Consider the following 21522-nt stretch of genomic DNA (forward strand, 5'->3'; position numbering starts at 1 on the left):
CACCTCCCATCCCCAGCTGCCCGCAACCCCCAGTGACTCGGGATCCCCCGGAGAGCCCTCCCCTCTCGGCAGGAGGGGGCTGACTCAGGGAGAAATGGCAGTTTAGGGCCTAGGGGGCCACGTGACCCTCCCCCAGGAATGTGGTGACGTCATCGGAGGCGTGGTCGTCCCCAAAATTAGGGAGGAAGAGGAAAAAAAAAAGCCAGAAAAAGTTTTCTTTTCTGGAGTCCCAAACGAGGTGCGGGACGGAAGAGGGGGTGAAGGCCAGAGGCTCGGGGCTTCAAGACCGCTGTCTGGAGTCCCCCTTTCCAGGCCATGTCGGGGCCCACCTGGCTGCCCCCGAAGCAGCCGGAGCCCGCCAGAGCCCCTCAGGGGAGGGCGATCCCCCGCGGCACCCCGGGGCCACCACCGGCCCACGGAGCAGGTAAGGCAGCCCTTGTGAGACAGAAGAGCCACCCAGCTGTGGCGCTCACCTCTGTCCTACCGCTCCAGCCTCCCGCCCTGGCTGCTTCCTCCTGCCCCTTCCCCAAGCCGAGGCGGGGGGAACAGCCGCCTGCGCTCTCTTGGGACCCTAGATTTGGGGGAGGAGGTAACGAGAGGCGGAGAGGGTGGCTCCTCAAATATACACCCCTCCTGTCCTCCGCCACCCCACCTTTGATTTCTCTTCCCTCAACCCAGCACTCCAGCCCCACCCCAGGGTCAATTTTTGCCCCCTTCCATCTGAGCAGTGTTACCAGGCCCCAGGGGGACCGGAGGATCGGGGGCCGGCGTGGGTGGGGTCCCATGGAGTACTCCAGCACACGCAGGTGAGACCCGGGATCGTGGGGTGGGACATGTGGGATCCCCCAGAACCGAGTCTGAGGGACCCAGGACAGGAGAAGGCCTATGGTGATTTGCATTCTTCCTGCCCTGGCTCCATCCTCAGGGGCTCCCTGCAGACAGGGGGGGCCTTCGCCCTGGAAGCCTGGACGCCGAGATAGACTTGCTGAGCAGCACGCTGGCCGAGCTGAATGGGGGTCGGGGTCATGCGTCACGGCGACCAGACCGACAGGTGACTCTGCCCCTCCTCCCCGTCAGCACCCTGCCCCCTTCTCTGGACTCTCAGACCCAGCCTGATCGATCCCCCATGTGTGTAATGTGCACCCCAGCATGGAGGAAGCGTGGCTGCAAGTACCAACATGTCAGCCACTTGAGGACGGGACCTTGTCAAATGCAAAAAGCCTGTGCTTCCCCACAGCCAGGGTCATTTCCACAAATGTGGGTCTTGGAGTGGGGTCCTTGCTTACGACTTCTGGCCTGCGTTTCTCCTCAGGCATATGAGCCCCCGCCACCTCCTGCCTACCGCACGGGCTCCCTGAAGCCAAATCCAGCCTCGCCGCTCCCAGCGTCTCCCTATGGGGGCCCCACTCCAGCCTCTTACACTACCGCCAGCACCCCGGCTGGCCCAGCCTTCCCCGTGCAAGTGAAGGTGGCACAGCCAGTGAGGGGCTGCGGCCCACCCAGGCGGGGAGCCTCTCAGGCCTCTGGGCCCCTCCCGGGCCCCCACTTTCCTCTCCCAGGCCGAGGTGAAGTCTGGGGGCCTGGCTATAGGAGCCAGAGAGAGCCAGGGCCAGGGGCCAAAGAGGAAGCTGCTGGGGTCTCTGGCCCTGCAGGAAGAGGAAGAGGAGGCGAGCACGGGCCCCAGGTGAGCCCTGGGGAACTGGGATTTCAGGCCCTACAGACAATGGGACACCGACTGGGTGGGGTGGCTGGTGGTGTTTTAGGGGGCTTTTTTGTTTTTTGAGACAGAGTTTTGCTCTTGTTTGCCCAGGCTGGGGTGCAGTGGTGCCATCTTGGCTCACTGCAACCTCTGCCTCCCGGGTTCAAGTGATTCTCCTGCCTCAGCCTCCTGAATAACTGGATTACAGGCACACGCTGCCACGCTTGGTTAATTTTTGTATTTTTAGTACAGACGGGGTTTCACTAAAACCCCAGTTTGTTGGCCAGGCTGGTCTCGAACTCCCGACCTCAGGTGATCCGCCTGCCTCAGCCTCCCAAAGTGCTGGGATTGCAGGCCTGAGCCACCGCGCCTGGCCAAGGGGCTGGTTTTGGAGCAGAGTCAGAGGTCTGGGACGTGGAATAGGTAAGGGCAGGGCAGTGCGGGGGAGCAGGATAGAACTGCCCATTGGGGCTGAGCGCGGTGGCTCATGCCTGTAATCCCAGCACTTTGGGAGGCTGAGGTGGGTGGATCACCTGAGGTCACGAGTTCGAGACCACACTGACCAACATGGAGAAACCTCGTCTCTACTAAAAATACAAAATTAGCCAGGCATGGTGGCACATGCCTGTAATCCCAGCTACTCGGGAGGTTGAGGCAGGAGAATCACTTGAACCTGGGAGGTGGAGGTTGCGGTGAGCCGAGATCGCACCACTGCTCTCCAACCTGGGCAACAAGAGCAAAACTCTGTCTCAAAAAAAAAAAAAAAAAAAAAAAAGAACTGCCTACGGGCCCCTGGGCTGAGATGTTCTCAGATGAGCTTTCTAGCTGGAACTGCCTGGCCACCTTCAGAGACATTATAGCAGTCCCCAATCTTTTTGGCACCAGGGACCAGTTTTGGGGAAAACAATTTTTCCATGGACTGGGGAGGGGGATGGGAGGGGGTGGGAGGGGGATGGTTTCAGGATGATTCAAGCACATTACATTCATTGTGCACTTTATTTCTGTTATAATAATAATAGAATATATAGTATATATAATTGTTTCGGTATATATTACAATGTATATTACAATGTAATATATACCGAAACAATTATACAATTCACCATCATGTAGGATCAGTGGGAGCCCTGAGCTTGTTTTCCTGCAACTGGACAGTCCCATCTGGGGGTGATGGGAGACAGTGACAGATCATCAGGCATTAGATTCTCATAAGGAGCTTGCAACCTACATCCTTCGAACACACAGTTCACAATAGGGTTCATGCTCCTATGAGAATCTAACGCCGCTGCTGATCTGACAGGAGGTGGAGCTCAGGCGGTAATGCAAGTGATGGGGAGCAGCTGTAAATACAGATGAAGCTTTGCTTGCCCATTGCTCAGCTCCTGCTGTGTGGCCCAGTTCCTAACAGGCCATGGCCTGGCGGCTGAGGGCCCTGGTATTACAGCATCAGGAGCTAGAGTAGGACCGAGCCCGATTCCCACCTTCCAGGTGCCCCTGAGCCAGCCTCCAGAGGATGAGCTGGATAGGCTGACGAAGAAGCTGGTTCACGACATGAACCACCCGCCCAGCGGGGAGTACTTTGGTGAGCTGAGGCTGTGGGGTGGGTGGGACGTGGGAAGGGAGGCTGGGAGACAGAGGGGACAGTGGCTTCCTGGGTCTGTGAAGACTGATGCTGTTTCTCCCTGTCCTCAGGCCAGTGTGGTGGCTGCGGAGAAGATGTGGTTGGGGATGGGGCTGGGGTTGTGGCCCTTGATCGCGTCTTTCACGTGGGCTGCTTTGTATGTTCTACATGCCGGGCCCAGCTTCGCGGCCAGCATTTCTACGCCGTGGAGAGGAGGGCATATTGCGAGGGCTGCTACGTGGTGAGTGGCTGGGGCTGGGAGGAGGGAGTCAGTGGCTGGATGCAGGGGGCTTCCATCCAAGGTGGTAACTAGAGCGTCCAAGACCAAAGGAGGAACGGTGCTAAAAGCCAGGCGACTGAAAGTGATGTACAAACAGGGCGGAATTCTGCAAGTATCAAGCAAGTAGCTTAACACTGGTGGCTGAAGGGAAGGACGCAGCTCTTACAAGTGTGGAGCATCTTACAGTTAAAGAGAATGTGTTAGATTCCCATGACACCCCTGTGAGGCAGGTATTACTACTGATTCCTGGTTTTGTTTTTTGTTTTTTTTTGAGACAGTCTCGCTCTGTTGCGCAGACTGGAGTGCAGTGGGGTGATCTCTGCTCACTGCAACCTCAGCCTGCCCTGGTTCAAGCGATTCTCATGCCTCAGGCTCCCGAGCAGTTGGGATTACAGGTGCCCACCACCACACCCAGCTAATTTTTGTATTTTTAGTAGAGACAGGGTTTCGCCATGTTGGCCAGGCTGTTTTGAAACTCCTGGCCTCAAGCAGTCCGCCCACTCTGGCCTCCCAAAGTGCTGGCATTACAGGCGTGAGCCACTGCACCCAGCCTGATTCCTGTTTTTCTCATAGTGTTTAAATACCGTGTATAGTGCTGGGACCTGAACTCAGATCTGCTCAAGTCTGCCTTTCACCGAATCACATGCAGGAGGCTGCATGCAGGAGGCTGCAGAAATTAGATGGCTGGGTTGCTGGGGTTCCTGTTGAGCTGCCATGGCTCCCGCCCGCTCCCAGATCTTCCTGCCTTCCTTCCCAACAGGCCACCCTGGAGAAATGTGCCACGTGCTCCCAGCCCATCCTGGACCGGATCCTGCGGGCTATGGGGAAGGCCTACCACCCTGGCTGCTTCACCTGCGTGGTGTGTCACCGCGGCCTCGACGGCATCCCCTTCACAGTGGATGCTACGAGCCAGATCCACTGCATTGAGGACTTTCACAGGTCAGGCCTGGCCTCCACCTTGTCTCACAATGTCTGACCTTTCCTGTCTCTCTCATCTCTTCATGCCCCAGGACTGTCTCTTCCTGTTTCCAACCCTGGCCCTCCTTCGTTCTTTGTTATTGTTATTTTTTAGAGACGGAGTTTCACTCTGTTGCCCAGGCAGGAGTGCAATGGCATGATCATAGCTCACTGCAGCCTCCAACTCCTGGGCTCAAGTGATCCTCCTACCTCAGCCTCCTGAGTAGCTGGGACTACGGGTGCACACGCCACCATGCCTGGCTAGTTTTCTTCGTTTTTTTTTTTTTTTTTTTGAGATGGAGTCTCACTCTGTCACCCAGGCTGGAGTGCAGTGGCACGATCTCAGCTCACTGCAACCTCCACCACCTGGGTTCAAGTGATTTGCCTGCCTCAACCTCCCCAGTAGCTGGGATTACGGGCGCATGCCACCACGCCTGGCTAGTTTTTTTTTTTTTTTTTTTTTTTGTATTTTTAGTAGAGACAGGCTTTCATCATGTTGGCCAGGCTGGTCTCAAACTCCTGAGCTCAAGCGATCCACCTGCCTCGGCCGCCCAAAGTGCAGGGATAGCAGGCGTAAGCCACTGCACCCAGTCTTCTTCTTTGTATTTTAATAAAGACAGCGTCTTGCTGTGTTGCCTAGGCTGGTCTTGAACGCCTGGCCTCAAGTGATCCTCCTGCCTTGGCCTCCCAAAGTCGGGGGATTGCAGGCTAGAGCCACTGCACCTAGCCTCTCTCATTCTCTTTGACATCGTCCCTTCCCCAAGACCTAAGGCCATACCTCTGGCCTCTCTGATTCCCTCCTGTGCCCCACCTTCTCTGGGTTCCATTGTTGGTGCCCTGCAACCCCAAGGCTTGATGGCCTTCTTGGTTCTCTTCCCCTGCAGGAAGTTTGCCCCAAGATGCTCAGTGTGCGGTGGGGCCATAATGCCTGAGCCAGGTCAGGAGGAGACTGTGAGAATTGTTGCTCTGGATCGAAGTTTTCACATTGGCTGTTACAAGTGCGAGGTCAGGGGCCCCCAGCACGTGCAAGGGGCTGGCAGTGTCTAGGGTGCTGGGTAGAGCATGAGGGGGAACACAGAGGTCTGGGGTTGATGGAAACCTGTTGCTTCTTTCTTTTTTTTTTTTTTTTGAGACGGAGTCTTGCTCTGTTGCCCAGGCTGGAGTGCAGTGGCACAATCTTGGCTCACTGCAACCTCCACCTCCCGGGTTCAAGTGATTCTCCTGCCTCAGCCTCCTGAGTAGCTGGGATTACAGGTGCTGGCCACCATGCCTGGCTAATTTTTGTATTTTTAGTAGAGACAGGGTTTCACCATATTGGCCAGGCTGGTCTTGAACTCCTGACCTTGTGATCCTCCTGCCTCGGCTTCTCAAAGTGCTGGGATTACAGGCGTGAGCCATCGCGCCCGGCCAATTGTTGCTTCTTTTTCAACAGGAGTGTGGGCTGCTGCTCTCCTCTGAGGGCGAGTGTCAGGGCTGCTACCCGCTGGATGGGCACATCTTGTGCAAGGCCTGCAGCGCCTGGCGCATCCAGGAGCTCTCAGCCACCGTCACCACTGACTGCTGAGTCTTCCTAGAAGTACCTGCTGGGTTCTCAGTTCCAGTTCCCATCCTTTGATTGATCACTCTCCCTGACATCCACCTGTATGACTTTGTCACCAAATGCTGTCTTCTCTTTCTCCAATCAAGAAATAATAATCCCTCGAGTTTACAAAACACTTCCAAGTCTGTTGTCTCATCTGATTCTCCCAGTAGCCCATTACAGGCCCAGTCATTGTTACTGCCTGCATTTTTTTTCTTTTTTTTTTGAGACGGAGTCTGGCTCTGTCACCCAGGCTGGAATGCAGTGGTGCCATCTCGGCTCACTGCAACCTCTGCCTCCCAGGTTCAAGTGATTCTCTTGCCTCAGCCTCTTGAGTAGCTGGGATTACAGGCGCCCGCCACCACGTCTGGCTAATTTTGTATTTTTAGTAGAGACGGGGTTTCACCACCTTGGTCAGGGTGGTCTTGAACTCCTGACCTCAAGTGATCTGCCCGCTTCACCCAACCAAAGTGCTGGGATTACAGGCGTGAGCCACCGCCCTTGGCCACTGTCTGCATTTTTACATGTGAGGATGTCAGAGCTGAGAGGTGACTCCCCCAGATTGCATGGTTCTTAAATGGTGGAACCTGGGTCTTTTTGACTCAGGTCCAGTTTTTTTTGACAACTCTTGTAATCCGTCACTACCCTCCTCTCAGTGCTGGGAGCAAGCACGCCTCAGGGAGGAGGCAAGATTTCCTCTATGTATCTATTTTGAGACAGGGCCTCACTCTGTTCCCCAGGCTAGAGTGCAGTGGTGCAATCAAGGCTCACTGCAGCCCTGAACTCCTGGGCTCAAACAGTCCTCCTGGCTTAGCCTCCCCAGTAGCTAGGACCACAGGGGCATCCCACCAAGCCCAGTTATTATTTTTTTGTGTGTAGATGGGATCTTGCTATGTTGCCCAGGCTAGTCCTGAACTCTTGGGCTTAAGTCCTCCCTCCTCGACCTTCCCAAGTGCTGGGATCACAGGTGTGAGCCAATGTGCCTGGCCCTAAATATTCTGTAAAGGGGCCTTGCTATGTTGCCCAGGCAGGTCTCCAACTCCTGGGCTCAAGTGATTCTCCCACGTCGGCCTCCCAAAGCGCTGGGATTGCAGGCGTGAGCCATCTCAGCTGGTCTTCCTATTAAGTCTCACACTCAATTCACTGAGAGGGGCCTTGGTGTTACTCCCGGGGGTGGTAATCCATTGAATCTGGGCGGTCCATACTCTGTTTAGGGCGTTAACTTACAGCCTATTTCATCCAAATACTGAGCGGGGTTAAGACTGAGATCTGCCAATTTTACTTAAAGACGGGGCGTCTTTGTCGAGGAAAAGCAGGAACGGCGGACTTTGCATTTAGTGCGCACTGTGGCACCCAATTTTGGCTGGATATTTGGAGCAGAAAATGGTGGGATACGATGCTTTAAAATGGTTGCTTCCACCTTCCATCCCCTAAGCGCCCGCGCTTCCCAAGCCCACGCCCTGCCCGAGGAGGGGACGAAATCACCCCCGGTGAGGTCAGGAGGCCCGTGGGGGGAACATGGCTGGATGAGAACCGTCTTAGGACCCCGACACATCTGGGGTCGCGCGATCCTCGACTTCCGCTCTCCCTTCGCGCCCAGAGGGCTTGTTCGCCTCCCGAGGCCGCGCTTGGCCCAGCCGAGGTCCCGTAGTTCCTAACGCTCGAGCCGTTATCGTCTCGAAAAGCCGCGCGAGACTTGCGAGATCCCCGCCCCTTTCCCATCACGCCCTGCTCTCCCCGCCCTTCGCGCTCGGTTTGTTAGTTCCAGTTCCGGCCGCGAGGGTGGAGCTTTGTGCCTCGGAGGCGTGGGTGACGCAGGCGCAGCGCGGGCTGCGCGCGCTACTGCCCATCCCCGGTTGTCCCACTTTTGTTCGCCTCTCTTCGGCCCTCTACTCAAGAGCTCCGTCTCCGTCTCGCCCTCCTCGAAGTCCTCGTCGCGCGCCCGCGACCCAGGTCGCCCTGAAATCTAGCCCGTCCGAGCGCGAGTCCAACGGCCGCGGCCGCACCAAGGTGGGGGAGGGGAGGAGCCTGGGGGGCCCCGCTGGGGCGGGAGAGGAACCGGGGTCCACGGGGGCGGGCGCGGAGAAACTCGGGGCGAGTGGAGGTGTTGGAGCCGCGTTCTCAGGCCTAGGATGGTGGGGGCCGCGGAGGGCTGGCCTTGGCGGGAGGGAAGCGGGCGAGCTGCCCGCGAGGGACGGTCCCTTCCTCCGCTCGTCCTTTTGCACCACTCCTACCGCCTCTCCCCGGTCCCCAGGCCCCCTCAGACCGTGCCATGGGTGACAGTGATGACGAGTACGATCGAAGGCGCAGGGACAAGTTCAGAAGAGAGCGCAGCGACTACGACCGTTCCCGCGAGAGAGATGAAAGACGTCGAGGGGACGATTGGAATGACAGGTGAGCCGTTTTTAACTTCATCTTGTCCCCGTTTCATGCCGTTTCACTCCACCCGCGTCGCTTTTCTTTCTCCCCCTTGTAATTTTTATGAGGGCGAATCCTATGAAATGGCTCATTGGACCGTTTTCTGTGGTTCAGCCTATTTGCTGTTGGCCAAATAACTAGCTGTGGCTTGGTTTTTGAAATTCTCTGCAGATCAGAGCTATAGAGCTAAGAGTTTGAGTATGAAGAAGCACTGTTTATACATGCACGAAAAGCGTGCTTTTTTGCTTTTTTTTGTTTTGTTATTGAGATGGGGTCTTGTTCTGCTGCCCTGGCTGGAGTGCATTGATGCAGTCGTAGCAGCCTCCACCTCCCGGGCTCAACCGAGCCTCCCGCCTCAGCCTCTTGAGAAGCTGGGACTCCAGGGGGAGGCCATCACGCCCGCCTAACTTTTAAAAATTATTATTGTTATTTCGAGACAGAGTCTTGCCCTGTCGCCCAGGCTGGAGTGCAATGGCGCAATCTTGGCTCACTGCAACCTTCGCCTCTGGGGTTCAAGTAATTCTCCTGCCTCAGCCTCCCGAGTAGCTGGGATTACAGGCACCTGCCACCACGCCCGTCTAATTTTTGTATTTTTAGTAGAGACGGGGTTTCACCATGTTGGCTAGGCTGGTTTGGAACTCTCGACTTTAGGTAATCCACCCAGCTCGACCTCCCAAAGTGCTGGGATTACAGGCATGAGCCAGTGCTTGGTCTAAAATTATTTTTTGTAGAGACAGCGTCTTGCTCTGTTGCCCAGGTTGTAAATTATATTTTAGGAGGATTGCTTCAGAAAAATAATAATATAGAGTTGATCTGACTGGAGAGGTCGTCAGATTATTTCCCTGACAATATATGATTAGGTTTCTTGTCACTGTTTTGCCTAAAATCTCAGAGTTCATAGGGCGGTGCTGATTGGATTGATTATAAGATGTGGTTATTGACCTTAGGGTGTTACAGTGAGCTTGGCATGGGGGATCAGAATGGCAGTGGATGTATTCTGTAAATGAGTATATATAGTGGAAGTTATAAAGAGGGTAAGCATTGAGGGAACAGATCTCTAAAGGAGGGGAGCGGTGCTGGAGGTTGTGTGTCAGGGACCCACTGGAAAGTGACACTTGGCTAGACTTGGAAAGATGAGTGGGAATTCCCCAGACACGAGTGACATGAACAGCTTGGAGTTGTGGACATAACGTGTGATTTTAGCATATTCTAGTTTGGTTAGAGTCCTGTTTCTCAGGATGTCCACAGACCATAGGGGGTCTCCGAGGCTAAAATTAGTTTTTGTGGTAATGTTTACATATTATTGCCATTTCCACTGTTGGTGCCATAGCAATGATGGGTAAAACCGCTGATGCTTTACCAAACATCAAGGCAGTGACAGCAAAGAGTTAAAAAAAAAAAGCCAGCCGGGCCCAGTGGCTCACACCTGAAATCCCAGCACTTTGGGAGGCCGAGACGGGCAGATCACGAGATCGAGAGATTGAGACCATCCTGGCCAACATTGTGAAACCCTGTCTCTACTAAAAATACAAAAGTTAGCCAGGCATGGTGGTGCGCGCCTGTAGTCCCAGCTACTTGGGAGGCTGAGACAGGAGAATTGCTTGAACCCAGGAGGCACAGGTTGTAGTGAGCTGAGATCACACCCCTGCACTCCGGCCTGGCGACAGAGCAAGACTCTGTCTCAAAAAAAAAAAAAAAAAAAAAAGCCACTTCCATCAATGATTCTTGATGAAAGAGTAAAACATTTAAATTTGATTAGATTGGACTCTTGACTGTACGTCTTTTTTAAAAAAATTTTTTTTTGACACAGAATCTTGCTCTGTCACCCAGGCTGGAGTGCAGTGGGGCGATCTCAGCTCACTGCAACCTCCACCTCCTGGGTTCAAGTGATTCTCCTGCCTCAGCCTCCCGAGTTGCTGGGATTACAGGTGCGTGCCACTCTGCCTGGCTAATTTTTGTATTTTTAGTAGAGATGGGGTTTCACCATGTTGGCCAGCTGGTCTTGAACTCCTGACCTCACATATCCACCTGCTTCGACCTCTCAAAGTGCTGGGATTACAGGCCCGCGTTAGTTGTCTTGAGCAAGAGTACGCATGTGATTGAGTGAGCTGAACTAACAGCTTTTTTCCATGGGATGTTATTTTTACTTGAATGAATGACAAACAGTGATTGTTCATACTTGGGTATTTGGCAGACATCTTGAAAATGAACTGAGAACCTGTTACTTCAGTGTAAGCTGTTGGTATTTGTTGCCAGTGATGAAGTAGAACTTTCCAGTGAAAATTAAAATTTTGGGCCGGCGCAGTGGCTCATGCCTGTAATCCCAACACTTTGGGAGGCGAAGGTGGGTGGATTGCTTGAGCCCAGGAATTTGAGACCAACCTGGGCAACGTGGTGAAACCTGTCTGTACAAAAAAATACAAAAATTAGCTGGGGGTGGTGGCACATGCCTGTAGTCCCGGCAACTCCGGAGGCTGAGGCGGGAGGATGGCTTGAGCCTGGGAGGTGGAGGTGGGAGTGAGTCTTGATGGCACCACTGCATTCCAACCTGGGCAACAGAGAGATACCCTGTCAAAAAAAAAAAAAGGAAATTAAAATTTTGGAAAACTTCTACTAATGTGAGCTTGACAGCTTCCCATTAAGTAAAGACTTTCTTGGTGAGATAGGCAGTGATGCTGATGAGTACATTTTGATATTGGGTGAGACATAATCCAGGTCCATTGAAAGGGAAAGATAGAACAGTGGATTTTAATGCAGCAGAGAAAGAAATATTCACTGATACTATTTCAGATTGAAGGTTCTAACTAGCCTGTGAGAAACTACTTCCTTCTTGGACAAGGTAGCATAAAGAAAAGAAAAAAAAGAACCTACCTCTTGTTGAATTTTGGGTAGTATCCAAAATGAATATCTACAGTTAATCTGAAAAGGCCTTTCCAACTCCTTATCAGTATGAGGCCTGATTTTCTGTTTTTTTTTTGAGACGGGTCTTACTCTGTTGCCCAGGTTGGAGTGCAGTGGCACGATCATGGCCACAGATCACTGCAGCCTTGACTTCCCCAGGCTTAGGTGATCCTCTCACCTCAGCCTCCTGATTAGCTGGGACTACAGGTGTATGCCATCACACCCAGCTAACCTACTTTCTTCCTTCCTTCCTTTTCTTTTCTTTTCCTTTCTTTTCTTTTCTTTTCCTTCCTTTCTTTCTTTTTCTTTCTTTTCTTTCTTTCTTTCATTCTTTCTTTCAGATGGAGTCTCACTCTGCCCAGGCTGGAGTATAGTGGCGTGATCTGGGCTCACTGTAACCTCCATCTTCCGGGTTCAAAACGATTCTCCCACCTCAGCCTCCCGAGTAGTTGGGATTACAGGTGCCTGCCACCACGCCCGGCTAATTTTTGTGTATTTAGCAGAGACAGGGTTTTGCCATGTTGGCTAGGCTGGTCTCAAACTTCTGACCTCAAGTGATCTGCCTGCCTTGGCCTCCCAAAGTGCTAGGATTACAGGCATGAGCTACCACTTCCAGCCAGCCAGCTAAGTTTTGTATTTTTAGTAGAAAGGTGGTTTCACCATGTTGCCCCAGCCTGGTCTTGAACTCCTGGGCTCAAGCAATCCACTGCTTCGGCCTCCCAAAGTGCTAGCATTCATTACAGATGTGAGCCACCATGCCCGGCCTGCCTCATTTTTCAAGCAGAACAAAATATCTCAACAGATTCAGTGTAGAAGCTATCCTCTACAAAGCCAGAACTTGGAGAGATTGGTGACAATGTAAAAACAATGCCACTTTTTCTCACCAAAATTTTTCTGGAAAACGATTTTTCATAAAAACATGTAATGTGTTTCATCTTACTGTGTAATTTAAAAATGAAGGTTTTGGAACATTTCGTTTTAATTTTGAATATAGTAAGTATCGATAGATGTAACCCACATAAGCAGAAACTCTTTGGTGTCCTCAGTCATTTTTAAGAGTATTAAGGGGCTGAGGCAGGAGAATTGCTTGAGCCCAGGAGGCGGAGGCTGTAGTGAGCCGAGAGTGATTGTGCTGCTGCACTCCAGCCTGAGCGACAGAGTGAGACTGTCTCCAAAAAAAAAAAAAAAAGAAGAAGAAGAAGATGAGGATGGGGGAGGCTGGTGATTGGTTGGGAGGTTGGTGACTGGTGGAGAGGCTGGTGACTGGTCGAGAGGCTGGAGTGACAGCCAGGAGCCCAAGTTAAAACAATAGTGTTGCTTACTGACATTGAAGTAACGGTGTGATGTGATGAGACTTGTGTTTGAGGAAGGTCTGCCTGCCAGTGGGGAGACAGAAGCGAGAGACCAGAAGCAGGCGGGCAGCCAGGGCTGCAGGAGCCACACTGGCCAAGGACAAAGACTAGGACAGGGTGTGTGGGGATGGCAGAGAGTGGGACAGCTTTGATAGGCTTTGAGGCAGAGGATTAGCAGGAGCAGTAATTAGCGGTGAGGGTAGTGAATGACAGCTGGCGAGAGATGCTGTTCCGTTGATACAGCAGAGTGGGGAGCGGGAGGAGGAAAAGACATTTGGGCCCATAGTGGTGGGATGAATAGGCTTGATTCTTTTTTCTTTTTTTGGTGGGGGGGATGAAGTCTTGCTCTGTCGCCCAGGCTGGCTTGCAGTGGCGCGATCTCGGCTCACTGCAAGCTCCGCCTCCCGGGTCCACGCCATTCTCCTGCCTCAGCCTCCCGAGTAGCTGGGACTACAGGTGGCTGCCACCACGCCTGGCTAATTTTTTTTTGTATTTTTAGTAGAGACTGGGTTTCACCATGTTAGCCAGGATGGTCTCGATCTCCTGACCTCGTGATCCGCCCGCCTCGGCCTCCCAGAGTGCTGGGATTACAGGCGTGAGCCACCGCACCCGGCTGAATAGGCTTGATTCTGACAGGCTGAATTTGAGGGGGTGATGGACTTCTAGTAGGGGATGATTTTTAAAAAGTTTTCTGTTTTATTTTTAGAGACAGGGTCTCCCTCTGTCACCCGGGCTGAGTGCACTGGTGCAGTCGAAGCTTGCTGCAGCCGCGACCTGCCCGTAAGTGGGCCTGTAGCAGGGGTGATTCATGTGGGTCTGGAGCACAGGCGGAAGGCCAGGCTGGGAGAAGAGTTGGAGAACCATCAGTTCTTGGGTATTGGCTGAACTCATGGAGTTAGACAAGAATCTTTGTTTTGTTTTGTTTTGAGACAGGGTCTCTGTTGCCAGGGCTGGAGTGCAGTGGCTTGCCCTGACTAGAGAAAAATCTTTTTCTGTTAGGAGCGAAGTTTTATAATTGTAGGCTTTTTAGTCTGGTATCTCAGGGTGTAAGAAGGGCCTGTTTAGGAATGTGGCTGTGGCATATCCAGCTGTATCTTTAATTATTGTTACCTTTTTAAAAAATAAAAAATTTTTTGTAGGGATGGCGGGGGGCGGGGGGGGGTCTCACTATTGCCCAGGTTGGTCTCGAACTCCTGGCCTCAAGTGTTCTCTGCCTCGGCCTCAAAAGTGCTTGGATTACAGGCATGAGCCACTGTGCCTGGCCTTTAATCTTTGTTACTTGTTCTTACTGCCAGAGAGTGGGACCGTGGCCGTGAGCGCCGTAGTCGGGGTGAATATCGGGACTATGACCGGAATCGGCGAGAGCGCTTCTCGCCACCTCGCCACGAACTCAGCCCGCCACAGAAGCGCATGAGGAGAGACTGGTGAGATGGAGCGGTTTCCCTCTCCTCCCCTTTGCCTCAGTTCCACCTGGGCCTCCCCTTTCTCCCCTCACCTGTGCCTAAATCTTTGTCATTTCCTTTTCTCAACTTCCCATCACCCATCGTTACTTTGTCCCTTGAAACCCTTGTCTGGGAGACCATGCTGTGTGTACCCCCGTCTGTCCATCCTCCATGCTCTGGGGAGGTGACTCCCTTCTCTGCTTTACTTTTGTGTCCCCCACCTTCAGGGATGAGCACAGCTCTGACCCATACCACAGTGGCTATGAGATGCCCTATGCTGGGGGGGGTGGGGGCCCAACTTATGGCCCCCCTCAGCCCTGGGGCCACCCTGACGTCCACATCATGCAGCACCATGTCCTGCCTATCCAGGCCAGGTAAGGGTGGGGCTTCTCAGAAGAGGGTTGGTAGGCCTGGGGGATGGATGGGGTTGCTGAAGGCCATGGCTGAAGCCAGGGAGCGGGTCAGGCACACAGAGGCATGTCCCTGGGGTAGGGGTGGTAGCTGTTGGGGTTTGGGGTGATGTCCATGGTGGACAAAGTAAAGGGGCCCCAGCTACTTTGGCCCCTGTAGCCTCCCACCGTTCCCCAAAAACCAAGCCTTCCTGACCGGGGTCCCCTCCAGGCTGGGCAGCATTGCAGAGATTGACCTGGGTGTGCCGCCGCCCGTGATGAAGACCTTCAAGGAGTTTCTCCTCTCCCTGGATGACTCGGTGGATGAGACGGAGGCCGTCAAGCGCTATAATGACTACAAGCTGGATTTCCGGAGGCAACAGATGCAGGATTTCTTCCTGGCGCACAAAGATGAGGAGTGGTGAGTGCCCCTACTTCCCTGGACCTCTGCCCTGGCATGTCCCCCTGGCCCCGCTGGTGGAGCCACAGCCCTGTCCTCTTCCCAGTTTTCCCTGTCCAGAACTTTCTGGGGGCGGGGGTCGGGAAGTATGACAGCATTGGCTGATGGGGTCTCCCCCTCACTTCAGCAACTGCCACGGCCCCCGCCCCGCCCTGTCTCCTGTCCTGCTGTCCTCAGAGAGTGGGACACCTCCAGGCAGCAGGCCAGAGCCACTTGGCCCCTTGGGGCAGCAGACAGACTGCTTCCCACTTGTTGGTGTTGGGTCATTGTCATCCCTGATCACCAGGACCCTGTGTGGCTGTGGCGTCCTCCTAAAGCGACGAGTGAATCCAGACAAGAAAAGCAAAGATCTCGGTCGTTTGACAGAAAAAGAATTTTAATTTTTTTTTCCTTTTGTGGATGTTTTAATTTTAATCAACCATCTTTTCCCCCCTTCCTGCTCCTCCTCCTCCTCATCCTCTTTCTGCTCCTCCTCCTTGAAAAGAGCCAGAACTGGGAACTACACCCGCTCATCGACGGAGCTCGGAGCAAACCCACCTCCACCCCCACCATACCCAGCCCATACATGAGCCCCTGGGCTGAGCTGCGCGGCCCCGGCCAGGCAGACAGGCCAGGGCACTGCTGTGCACAATGCAGCGGTTTAGCTGAATGTGATTGCTCAGGCAGCTAGCCAGTCAGGCCCCACTGCGGAGTCCCGCGTGGGCATCTCGGCCGGGCGCCCAGCCAGGAGCCAGCCGGTGGCCCACCAGCCAGCATGGGCCCTGGGCGCCGCTAGTTAAATCTTGAGCTCTGTTTGACCAAGCGGCCAAGGTAAAGATCCTGGAGGTGATGCCTGCGGCTTTCCTTTCCTCTTCTGCCCCACTCGTGGTTCTGTTCTGTCTTCGCTGTCCCCTCTCTCGAATTGCTCTGTGTCTTTGTCCTAATCTCTCAGCACCTTCATTCTTCTCTGTTTCTGTTCTTGCTCCCTGCCTAACACCACCTTCTTCCCTGTTGGTTTTTTTAGTTTCTCTCTCTGATCTTTAGTTTTTCCCTTTGTTTTCGGTTTCTGGGACTTTCTCACACTCTCCCCTTTCCTCCCTTTCCCCTTTTCCTCATACTCCTCATTTCTTCTGTTTTCCCTCTGAGGTCCTATTTGAAATGTTTTATTTTTCTTCTCCCTAACCTTCCAGCCCTCTCCTCTCTCTCCCCCTGTGGGCAGGACCTGAGGCTCTAAAGGGCACTCCAGTGTCTCCCTTCGGTCTTTCCTGTCCCTTCACCGTCTTGCTTATCTTCCCACGGGTGGAGAAAGGTGCCCTGCCTCTGGGCTTTTGCTATCTGGCCCTCTGTCTTCCACCTCGGGGTGGAGGGAGTTGGCGGGAGCAGTTTTTGAATGACTGCAGTTTGGGGTTGGTGAGGAGAGGGAGGTTCTTCAGGGCCTGCTATTTCCTGAGCCTTCCTCTCTGAAGCTTTGGGAAATGACACCTTTTTACTACGTTAGTGTTTCCCAGAGATTTAAAGTGGTAAATCTGCCTCTCCTACCCTGGCGTCCCCCTGTAGTCATTGGTCTTCCCAAATCCAGAGCTCTTAGTTCCTGGTTCTCCCCCAAATCTTCACAGAACACAACTTCTGGTTCCTTTTGGGGTGTTGGGTGGTTCTAGCGCACCCCTATCCCTTAATCTCTCTATTTTGATGACCTTTTGTGGTTGTGAGAGGAAGGGGGATATGCCCTGTCTTTCCTGGGCCCCTTCCCACATCCTGGCCTTGGCTTCCAATAACTGTTTTGTCTTTCCCTCCCCCGCTTCGTTCCCAGGTTTCGGTCTAAGTACCACCCAGATGAGGTGGGGAAGCGTCGGCAGGAGGCCCGGGGGGCCCTGCAAAACCGACTGAGGGTCTTCCTGTCCCTCATGGAGACTGGCTGGTTTGATAACCTTCTCCTGGACATAGACAAAGCTGATGCCATTGTCAAGATGCTGGATGCAGGTGTGCGGATTTGGAGGGGTGGCAGGCATCTGGGCCCCATGGGGGTGGGGGTGTCTGGGGATCAGGTAGAAGCCGGTTGACAGGAGCCAGGGCCCTGGGGTCATGACCTCTGTTCCCTTTGTTGGTAGCCGTGATTAAGATGGAAGGAGGCACGGAGAATGATCTTCGCATCCTGGAGCAGGAGGAGGAGGAGGAGCAGGCAGGAAAGCCTGGGGAGCCCAGCAAGAAAGAAGAAGGACGGGCTGGAGCAGGCCTAGGGGACGGGGAGCGCAAAACCAACGACAAGGATGAGAAGAAGGAAGACGGCAAGCAGGTCCGAGCCCTGGGTCTCCTAGTGTTGTCCCTGGCAGCCTGGGGGAGGGGGGCGGGTAGGGGTCCATAGGAGCTAGAAGTAGGGGGCTGGGGAAAATGAACCTGTGGCCTCAGCTGTGGGGGTGGGGGCCCTCTGATAAAGGTGGGAGGGGAGGTTTGACATCCCCAGTGGTTGTCTCTTACCATAGGCTGAGAATGACAGTTCTAATGATGACAAAACAAAGAAGTCGGAGGGTGATGGGGACAAGGAAGAGAAGAAAGAAGACTCCGAGAAGGAAGCCAAAAAGGTGAGGTGTCTGTGGCCTGGGGTCAGAGTGTTGGGGCTGGGGTTCTGGCACGCTGACTTGTCCCCTCTGCTGTGGCTCACACAGAGTAGCAAGAAGCGGAACCGGAAGCACAGTGGTGACGACAGCTTTGACGAGGGCAGCGTGTCAGAGTCTGAGTCGGAGTCAGAGAGCGGCCAGGCTGAGGAGGAGAAGGAGGAGGCCGGTAGGGTTTCTTTTCTGCTTTAAAGTGCGTTCTCCTAATGCGGGTGGGGAGGTGAGAGGTTGGCGACATTGACGGGAGGGTGGGTGGCTTTTAGGGGAAAGCTTCTGTATCCTCCCCACCACAATCAGTAATAAAAATGCACCAACTCCTTCCTACCCCCCTTCCTGCCTAGAAGAAGCGCTCAAGGAGAAGGAGAAGCCCAAGGAAGAAGAATGGGAGAAGCCCAAGGACGCCGCGGGGCTGGAGTGCAAGCCGCGGCCGCTGCATAAGACCTGCTCCCTCTTCATGCGCAACATCGCGCCCAACATCTCCCGGGCCGAGATCATCTCCGTGAGTGGGGACCCGTGGAGTCAGGGCAGGGCTGATGGAGAAGTGGAGGGTAGAGGGAAGGCAGTGGGGCCCTGCCTGTGACAGATGCCCCCGTTTCACCTGCTAGGGAGGCCCCTTCCCCAGGTTCCATGGCCTCCGAGGACTAGTCCTGATAGCGCCATTGGCTTTCAGGTGCTGGTGTTCTGAAGCCCTTTAGTGGTTTTTCCCTGCCCAAGGATGGGAAGAGTGATAAGGCAGTTAGTCCCTAGGGTTCTGAGGGCAGTGGGGGATTGGAGGAAGAAGCGAATGAATCCTTGAGTCACTGTGGGGCTGCTTTTCTGCTTCTTGCAGCTTTGTAAAAGGTACCCAGGCTTTATGCGGGTGGCGCTCTCAGAGCCCCAGCCAGAGAGGAGGTGAGTAACTCGGTGCGTTGGAGGGAAAAGTGCAGGGGAACGTTAATGGCCAACACCAACTCCCTCGCTTGACTATGCTAACATTTTCTTTCTTGTGTAGGTTTTTCCGTCGTGGCTGGGTGACCTTCGACCGCAGTGTTAACATTAAAGAGATCTGTTGGAACCTGCAGAACATCCGTGTGAGTGCTGGGGGTGGGACTGTGGGGAAGAGGAAGGGAGACTCTGTGCCACACGGGACCTCTGTGTGACTTTGTTCATCTGATAGTTTGGTTGTTCTGCACACTCTTTGACCGTTTTGTCTGGCTACGTTGTCTCTGGGCAAGGCTCTAGGGCGTTAGCATGGACGGAACCTATGTGGTCCCCGTCCCCAGGGAGCTCGCAGTCTGATCAATCGCTGGTGCTCAAGAGGGAAGGGTCTTAGAGCTGCTGTTTCTCTGGCAAGCGGGGTAAGTGGGGTAAGCTGCTGATGATGTCTGCCCTCCAGCTCCGGGAGTGTGAGCTGAGCCCTGGTGTGAACAGGGACCTGACCCGGCGCGTTCGCAACATCAACGGCATCACCCAGCACAAGCAGATTGTGCGCAACGACATCAAGCTGGCGGCCAAGCTGATCCACACGCTGGATGACAGGACACAGCTTTGGGCCTCAGAACCAGGGACGCCTCCCCTGCCCACGGTCAGTGACTCCCCAAAGGACTTTGTCAGAAGCAACTGGTAGTGCCTCTGCTGTGGGCACCTCTGACCTTACCTATCTGTAGCCTTGAACCCTTGCACCCACTCGCCTGCTCACTCATTTGCCCCTTCGTGTGTGGGTAGCAGCACCTCCAGATTCCAGCAGAACTGGGGGGATGCTAGTGATCATTTGTGGCTGGGGTGGAACAAAAGCTAAAATAAAGACAAATCTCAAGGGGGCAAAAGGTGCCATTTATGTCCGGTGAACTCCTGTCCCCTCGCTGCTCTTTCACTTGTGGAAAGTCTCAGGTTACCTCCTCTGAAGGTCTTCTCTGCCTTACTTGCTTCTCTTCCTCCCATCAGAGCCTGCCCTCGCAAAACCCGATCTTGAAGAATATCACCGACTACCTGATCGAGGAAGTAAGCGCCGAGGAGGAGGAGCTGCTGGGGAGCAGCGGGGGCGCTCCTCCTGAGGAGCCTCCTAAGGAAGGGAACCCGGCAGAGATCAACGTGGAGCGGGATGAGAAGTTGATTAAGGTGCCAGTGGCAGCGCGGGGCACGTGGGGGCTCGGGCGGTGAGGGCAGGAGCTGAACGCTCGCATTCACTTCCCTTAGGTCTTGGACAAGCTCCTCCTTTACCTGCGCATCGTGCATTCCTTGGATTATTACAACACCTGTGAGTACCCCAACGAGGACGAGATGCCCAATCGCTGTGGGATCATCCACGTTCGGGGGCCCATGCCACCCAACCGCATCAGTCACGGGGAAGGTGAGCTCCAGGTTCCCCTTTGTTCCCGGCTGCCCCTGGCCTTGGTCCTCCAGCCCCTTGCCACCATCCTTCCTTCTGGCTCCCTTGCCAACCTTCCTTCCTCTGTTCCCAAACCACAGTGCTGGAGTGGCAGAAGACTTTTGAGGAGAAGCTCACGCCGTTGCTGAGTGTGCGGGAGTCACTCTCAGAGGAAGAGGCCCAGAAGATGGGGCGCAAAGACCCAGAGCAGGAAGTGGAGAAGTTCGTCACCTCCAACACGCAGGAACTGGGCAAGGATAAGTGGCTGTGTCCTCTCAGTGGCAAGAAATTCAAGGTGTGGGATGTTGGAGAATGGCCGTGCTACGGTGGTGGGAGGTGGGGTTGAGACAGGAAGCCCCCTGGGCAGGGGTGGGGGAACTGCTTACTGCACTGGCAGGCGGGAGCTGGGAATCCTTCCAGCTCGGGCCTGGGAGCGAGGCAACCCTTATGTGGCTGTCCTGACCCCTCTCCTCTCTCCACCCAGGGTCCTGAGTTTGTGCGCAAACATATCTTCAACAAGCATGCAGAGAAAATTGAGGAAGTGAAAAAGGAAGTCGCGTTTTTTAACAACTTCCTCACTGATGCTAAGCGCCCAGCTCTGCCTGAGATCAAGCCAGCCCAGCCACCTGGCCCCGCCCAGAGTAAGATACGATCCATGAAGGTCGCATGTGCCCTCTTCCTTGACTACCCAGGGACTCCTGTTTCTCTTTAACGTGTCACCCCGAGAAGTTTCTGCCCCATCCTCAGGCCATAGCCCTAGAAGTCAATTGTACCCGTATCCCCCTCCCCGCCCCCGCAGTAATTCATGTCCCTGTCCGTGTTGTACTCCCCCCAGGTTTGACCCCAGGACTCCCCTACCCACACCAGACTCCCCAGGGCCTGATGCCCTATGGTCAGCCCCGGCCCCCGATCTTGGGCTATGGAGGTAAGTACAGGAGGGAGATGAAGGGGCTTGGTGAGTGTGTGGCTTTGGGAGAAGAAAACAGAGGATGGAATTGAGGACATAGTTTTGCAACTCAACACTGATCTCTGTCATAGCTGGTGCTGTCCGCCCTGCAGTCCCCACAGGAGGCCCTCCATACCCCCATGCCCCGTATGGTGCTGGTCGAGGGAACTATGATGCCTTCCGAGGCCAGGGAGGTTATCCTGGGAAACCTCGCAACAGGTGAGGAGGGCAGACGCCCAAGCTTTGTTGCCGCCTGCAGACTCCCTTTTGGGAGCCCTCAGCTCTCATCCTGTACCTCTCACCTCACAGGATGGTTCGTGGAGACCCAAGGGCCATTGTGGAATATCGGGACCTGGATGCCCCAGACGATGTTGATTTCTTTTGAGCCGTCCCCCGTTCCTCAGTCCTGTATCATCCATACTTGTACTACCTTGTCCTATGAAGCTCTGAGAATTTTTTGTACGATCAGCCTTACTGCTAATAAAAGCACTTCCACAGGGCTCCTGACTCTCGTGTGTTACATAACTCCTCCATCCTTCC

General features: G+C 54.2%; 2 protein-coding genes and 1 non-coding gene across 12 annotated transcripts, besides 9 other annotated features; all 3 read left to right on the top strand.

Moving 5' to 3' along the window:
* Window positions 205–6272, top strand: TRIP6 (thyroid hormone receptor interactor 6). Its single transcript, NM_003302.3, has 9 exons — window positions 205–424; window positions 679–806; window positions 926–1051; window positions 1313–1684; window positions 3188–3281; window positions 3392–3561; window positions 4361–4539; window positions 5442–5562; window positions 5990–6272. The coding sequence occupies exons 1-9, from the start codon at window positions 316–318 to the stop codon at window positions 6119–6121; spliced, it is 1431 nt and encodes a 476-aa protein (NP_003293.2). The 5' UTR covers window positions 205–315; the 3' UTR covers window positions 6122–6272.
* Window positions 303–452: a silencer, noted in NCBI's record as "silent region_18465". NCBI's record gives its function as "represses an Ori minimal core promoter by ATAC-STARR-seq in GM12878 lymphoblastoid cells {active_cell/tissue: GM12878}" and the evidence as "EXISTENCE:reporter gene assay evidence [ECO:0000049][PMID:35858748]".
* Window positions 854–925, top strand: MIR6875 (microRNA 6875). The gene has a single exon (NR_106935.1). It is a non-coding gene; the product is annotated as a microRNA 6875 (primary transcript).
* Window positions 893–992: an enhancer, noted in NCBI's record as "active region_26390". NCBI's record gives its function as "activates an Ori minimal core promoter by ATAC-STARR-seq in GM12878 lymphoblastoid cells {active_cell/tissue: GM12878}" and the evidence as "EXISTENCE:reporter gene assay evidence [ECO:0000049][PMID:35858748]".
* Window positions 6806–7470: an enhancer, noted in NCBI's record as "NANOG-H3K27ac-H3K4me1 hESC enhancer chr7:100471610-100472274 (GRCh37/hg19 assembly coordinates)". NCBI's record gives its function as "activates a minimal SCP1, AML or CMV promoter by ChIP-STARR-seq in naive and primed H9 embryonic stem cells {active_cell/tissue: H9 hESC(naive and primed)}" and the evidence as "EXISTENCE:reporter gene assay evidence [ECO:0000049][PMID:30033119]".
* Window positions 7471–8136: an enhancer, noted in NCBI's record as "NANOG-H3K27ac-H3K4me1 hESC enhancer chr7:100472275-100472939 (GRCh37/hg19 assembly coordinates)". NCBI's record gives its function as "activates a minimal SCP1, AML or CMV promoter by ChIP-STARR-seq in primed H9 embryonic stem cells {active_cell/tissue: H9 hESC(primed)}" and the evidence as "EXISTENCE:reporter gene assay evidence [ECO:0000049][PMID:30033119]".
* Window positions 7713–7762: an enhancer, noted in NCBI's record as "active region_26391". NCBI's record gives its function as "activates an Ori minimal core promoter by ATAC-STARR-seq in GM12878 lymphoblastoid cells {active_cell/tissue: GM12878}" and the evidence as "EXISTENCE:reporter gene assay evidence [ECO:0000049][PMID:35858748]".
* Window positions 7921–21482, top strand: SRRT (serrate, RNA effector molecule). Of its 10 annotated transcripts, none has more exons than NM_015908.6 (20): window positions 7921–8146; window positions 8391–8530; window positions 14103–14231; window positions 14477–14623; window positions 14871–15059; window positions 16888–17057; window positions 17186–17370; window positions 17558–17656; window positions 17741–17858; window positions 18031–18188; window positions 18519–18580; window positions 18681–18759; window positions 19065–19253; window positions 19613–19786; window positions 19865–20018; window positions 20138–20331; window positions 20521–20677; window positions 20860–20961; window positions 21075–21201; window positions 21292–21482. In NM_015908.6, the coding sequence occupies exons 2-20, from the start codon at window positions 8409–8411 to the stop codon at window positions 21365–21367; spliced, it is 2631 nt and encodes an 876-aa protein (NP_056992.4). In that variant the 5' UTR covers window positions 7921–8146; window positions 8391–8408; the 3' UTR covers window positions 21368–21482. The 10 variants fall into 10 exon arrangements, with proteins under 10 accessions (NP_056992.4, NP_001122325.1, NP_001122324.1 ...); NM_001128853.2 differs by having other exon boundaries at window positions 20872–20961; NM_001128852.2 differs by having other exon boundaries at window positions 18034–18188.
* Window positions 7973–8032: an enhancer, noted in NCBI's record as "active region_26392". NCBI's record gives its function as "activates an Ori minimal core promoter by ATAC-STARR-seq in GM12878 lymphoblastoid cells {active_cell/tissue: GM12878}" and the evidence as "EXISTENCE:reporter gene assay evidence [ECO:0000049][PMID:35858748]".
* Window positions 8173–8402: a silencer, noted in NCBI's record as "silent region_18466". NCBI's record gives its function as "represses an Ori minimal core promoter by ATAC-STARR-seq in GM12878 lymphoblastoid cells {active_cell/tissue: GM12878}" and the evidence as "EXISTENCE:reporter gene assay evidence [ECO:0000049][PMID:35858748]".
* Window positions 13761–14598: an enhancer, noted in NCBI's record as "H3K4me1 hESC enhancer chr7:100478564-100479401 (GRCh37/hg19 assembly coordinates)". NCBI's record gives its function as "activates a minimal SCP1, AML or CMV promoter by ChIP-STARR-seq in naive and primed H9 embryonic stem cells {active_cell/tissue: H9 hESC(naive and primed)}" and the evidence as "EXISTENCE:reporter gene assay evidence [ECO:0000049][PMID:30033119]".
* Window positions 18622–19355: an enhancer, noted in NCBI's record as "H3K4me1 hESC enhancer chr7:100483425-100484158 (GRCh37/hg19 assembly coordinates)". NCBI's record gives its function as "activates a minimal SCP1, AML or CMV promoter by ChIP-STARR-seq in naive H9 embryonic stem cells {active_cell/tissue: H9 hESC(naive)}" and the evidence as "EXISTENCE:reporter gene assay evidence [ECO:0000049][PMID:30033119]".

Source organism: Homo sapiens, chromosome 7 (genome assembly GCF_000001405.40).
Source record: "Homo sapiens chromosome 7, GRCh38.p14 Primary Assembly".
In the NCBI taxonomy this organism is placed as follows: domain Eukaryota; kingdom Metazoa; phylum Chordata; class Mammalia; order Primates; family Hominidae; genus Homo; species Homo sapiens.

Coding starts and splice junctions, on each gene's coding strand:
- TRIP6 (NM_003302.3), top strand. CDS start 316: ATGTCGGGGCCCACCTGGCTGCCCCCGAAGCAGCCGGAGCCCGCCAGA. Junction 807..925: donor GAGTACTCCAGCACACGCAG/GTGAGACCCGGG, acceptor CTCCATCCTCAG/GGGCTCCCTGCAGACAGGGG. Junction 1,685..3,187: donor GAGGCGAGCACGGGCCCCAG/GTGAGCCCTGGG, acceptor CCCACCTTCCAG/GTGCCCCTGAGCCAGCCTCC.
- SRRT (XM_005250405.3), top strand. Junction 17,859..18,030: donor GGAGGAGAAGGAGGAGGCCG/GTAGGGTTTCTT, acceptor CTTCCTGCCTAG/AAGAAGCGCTCAAGGAGAAG. Junction 18,760..19,064: donor GGAACCTGCAGAACATCCGT/GTGAGTGCTGGG, acceptor TCTGCCCTCCAG/CTCCGGGAGTGTGAGCTGAG.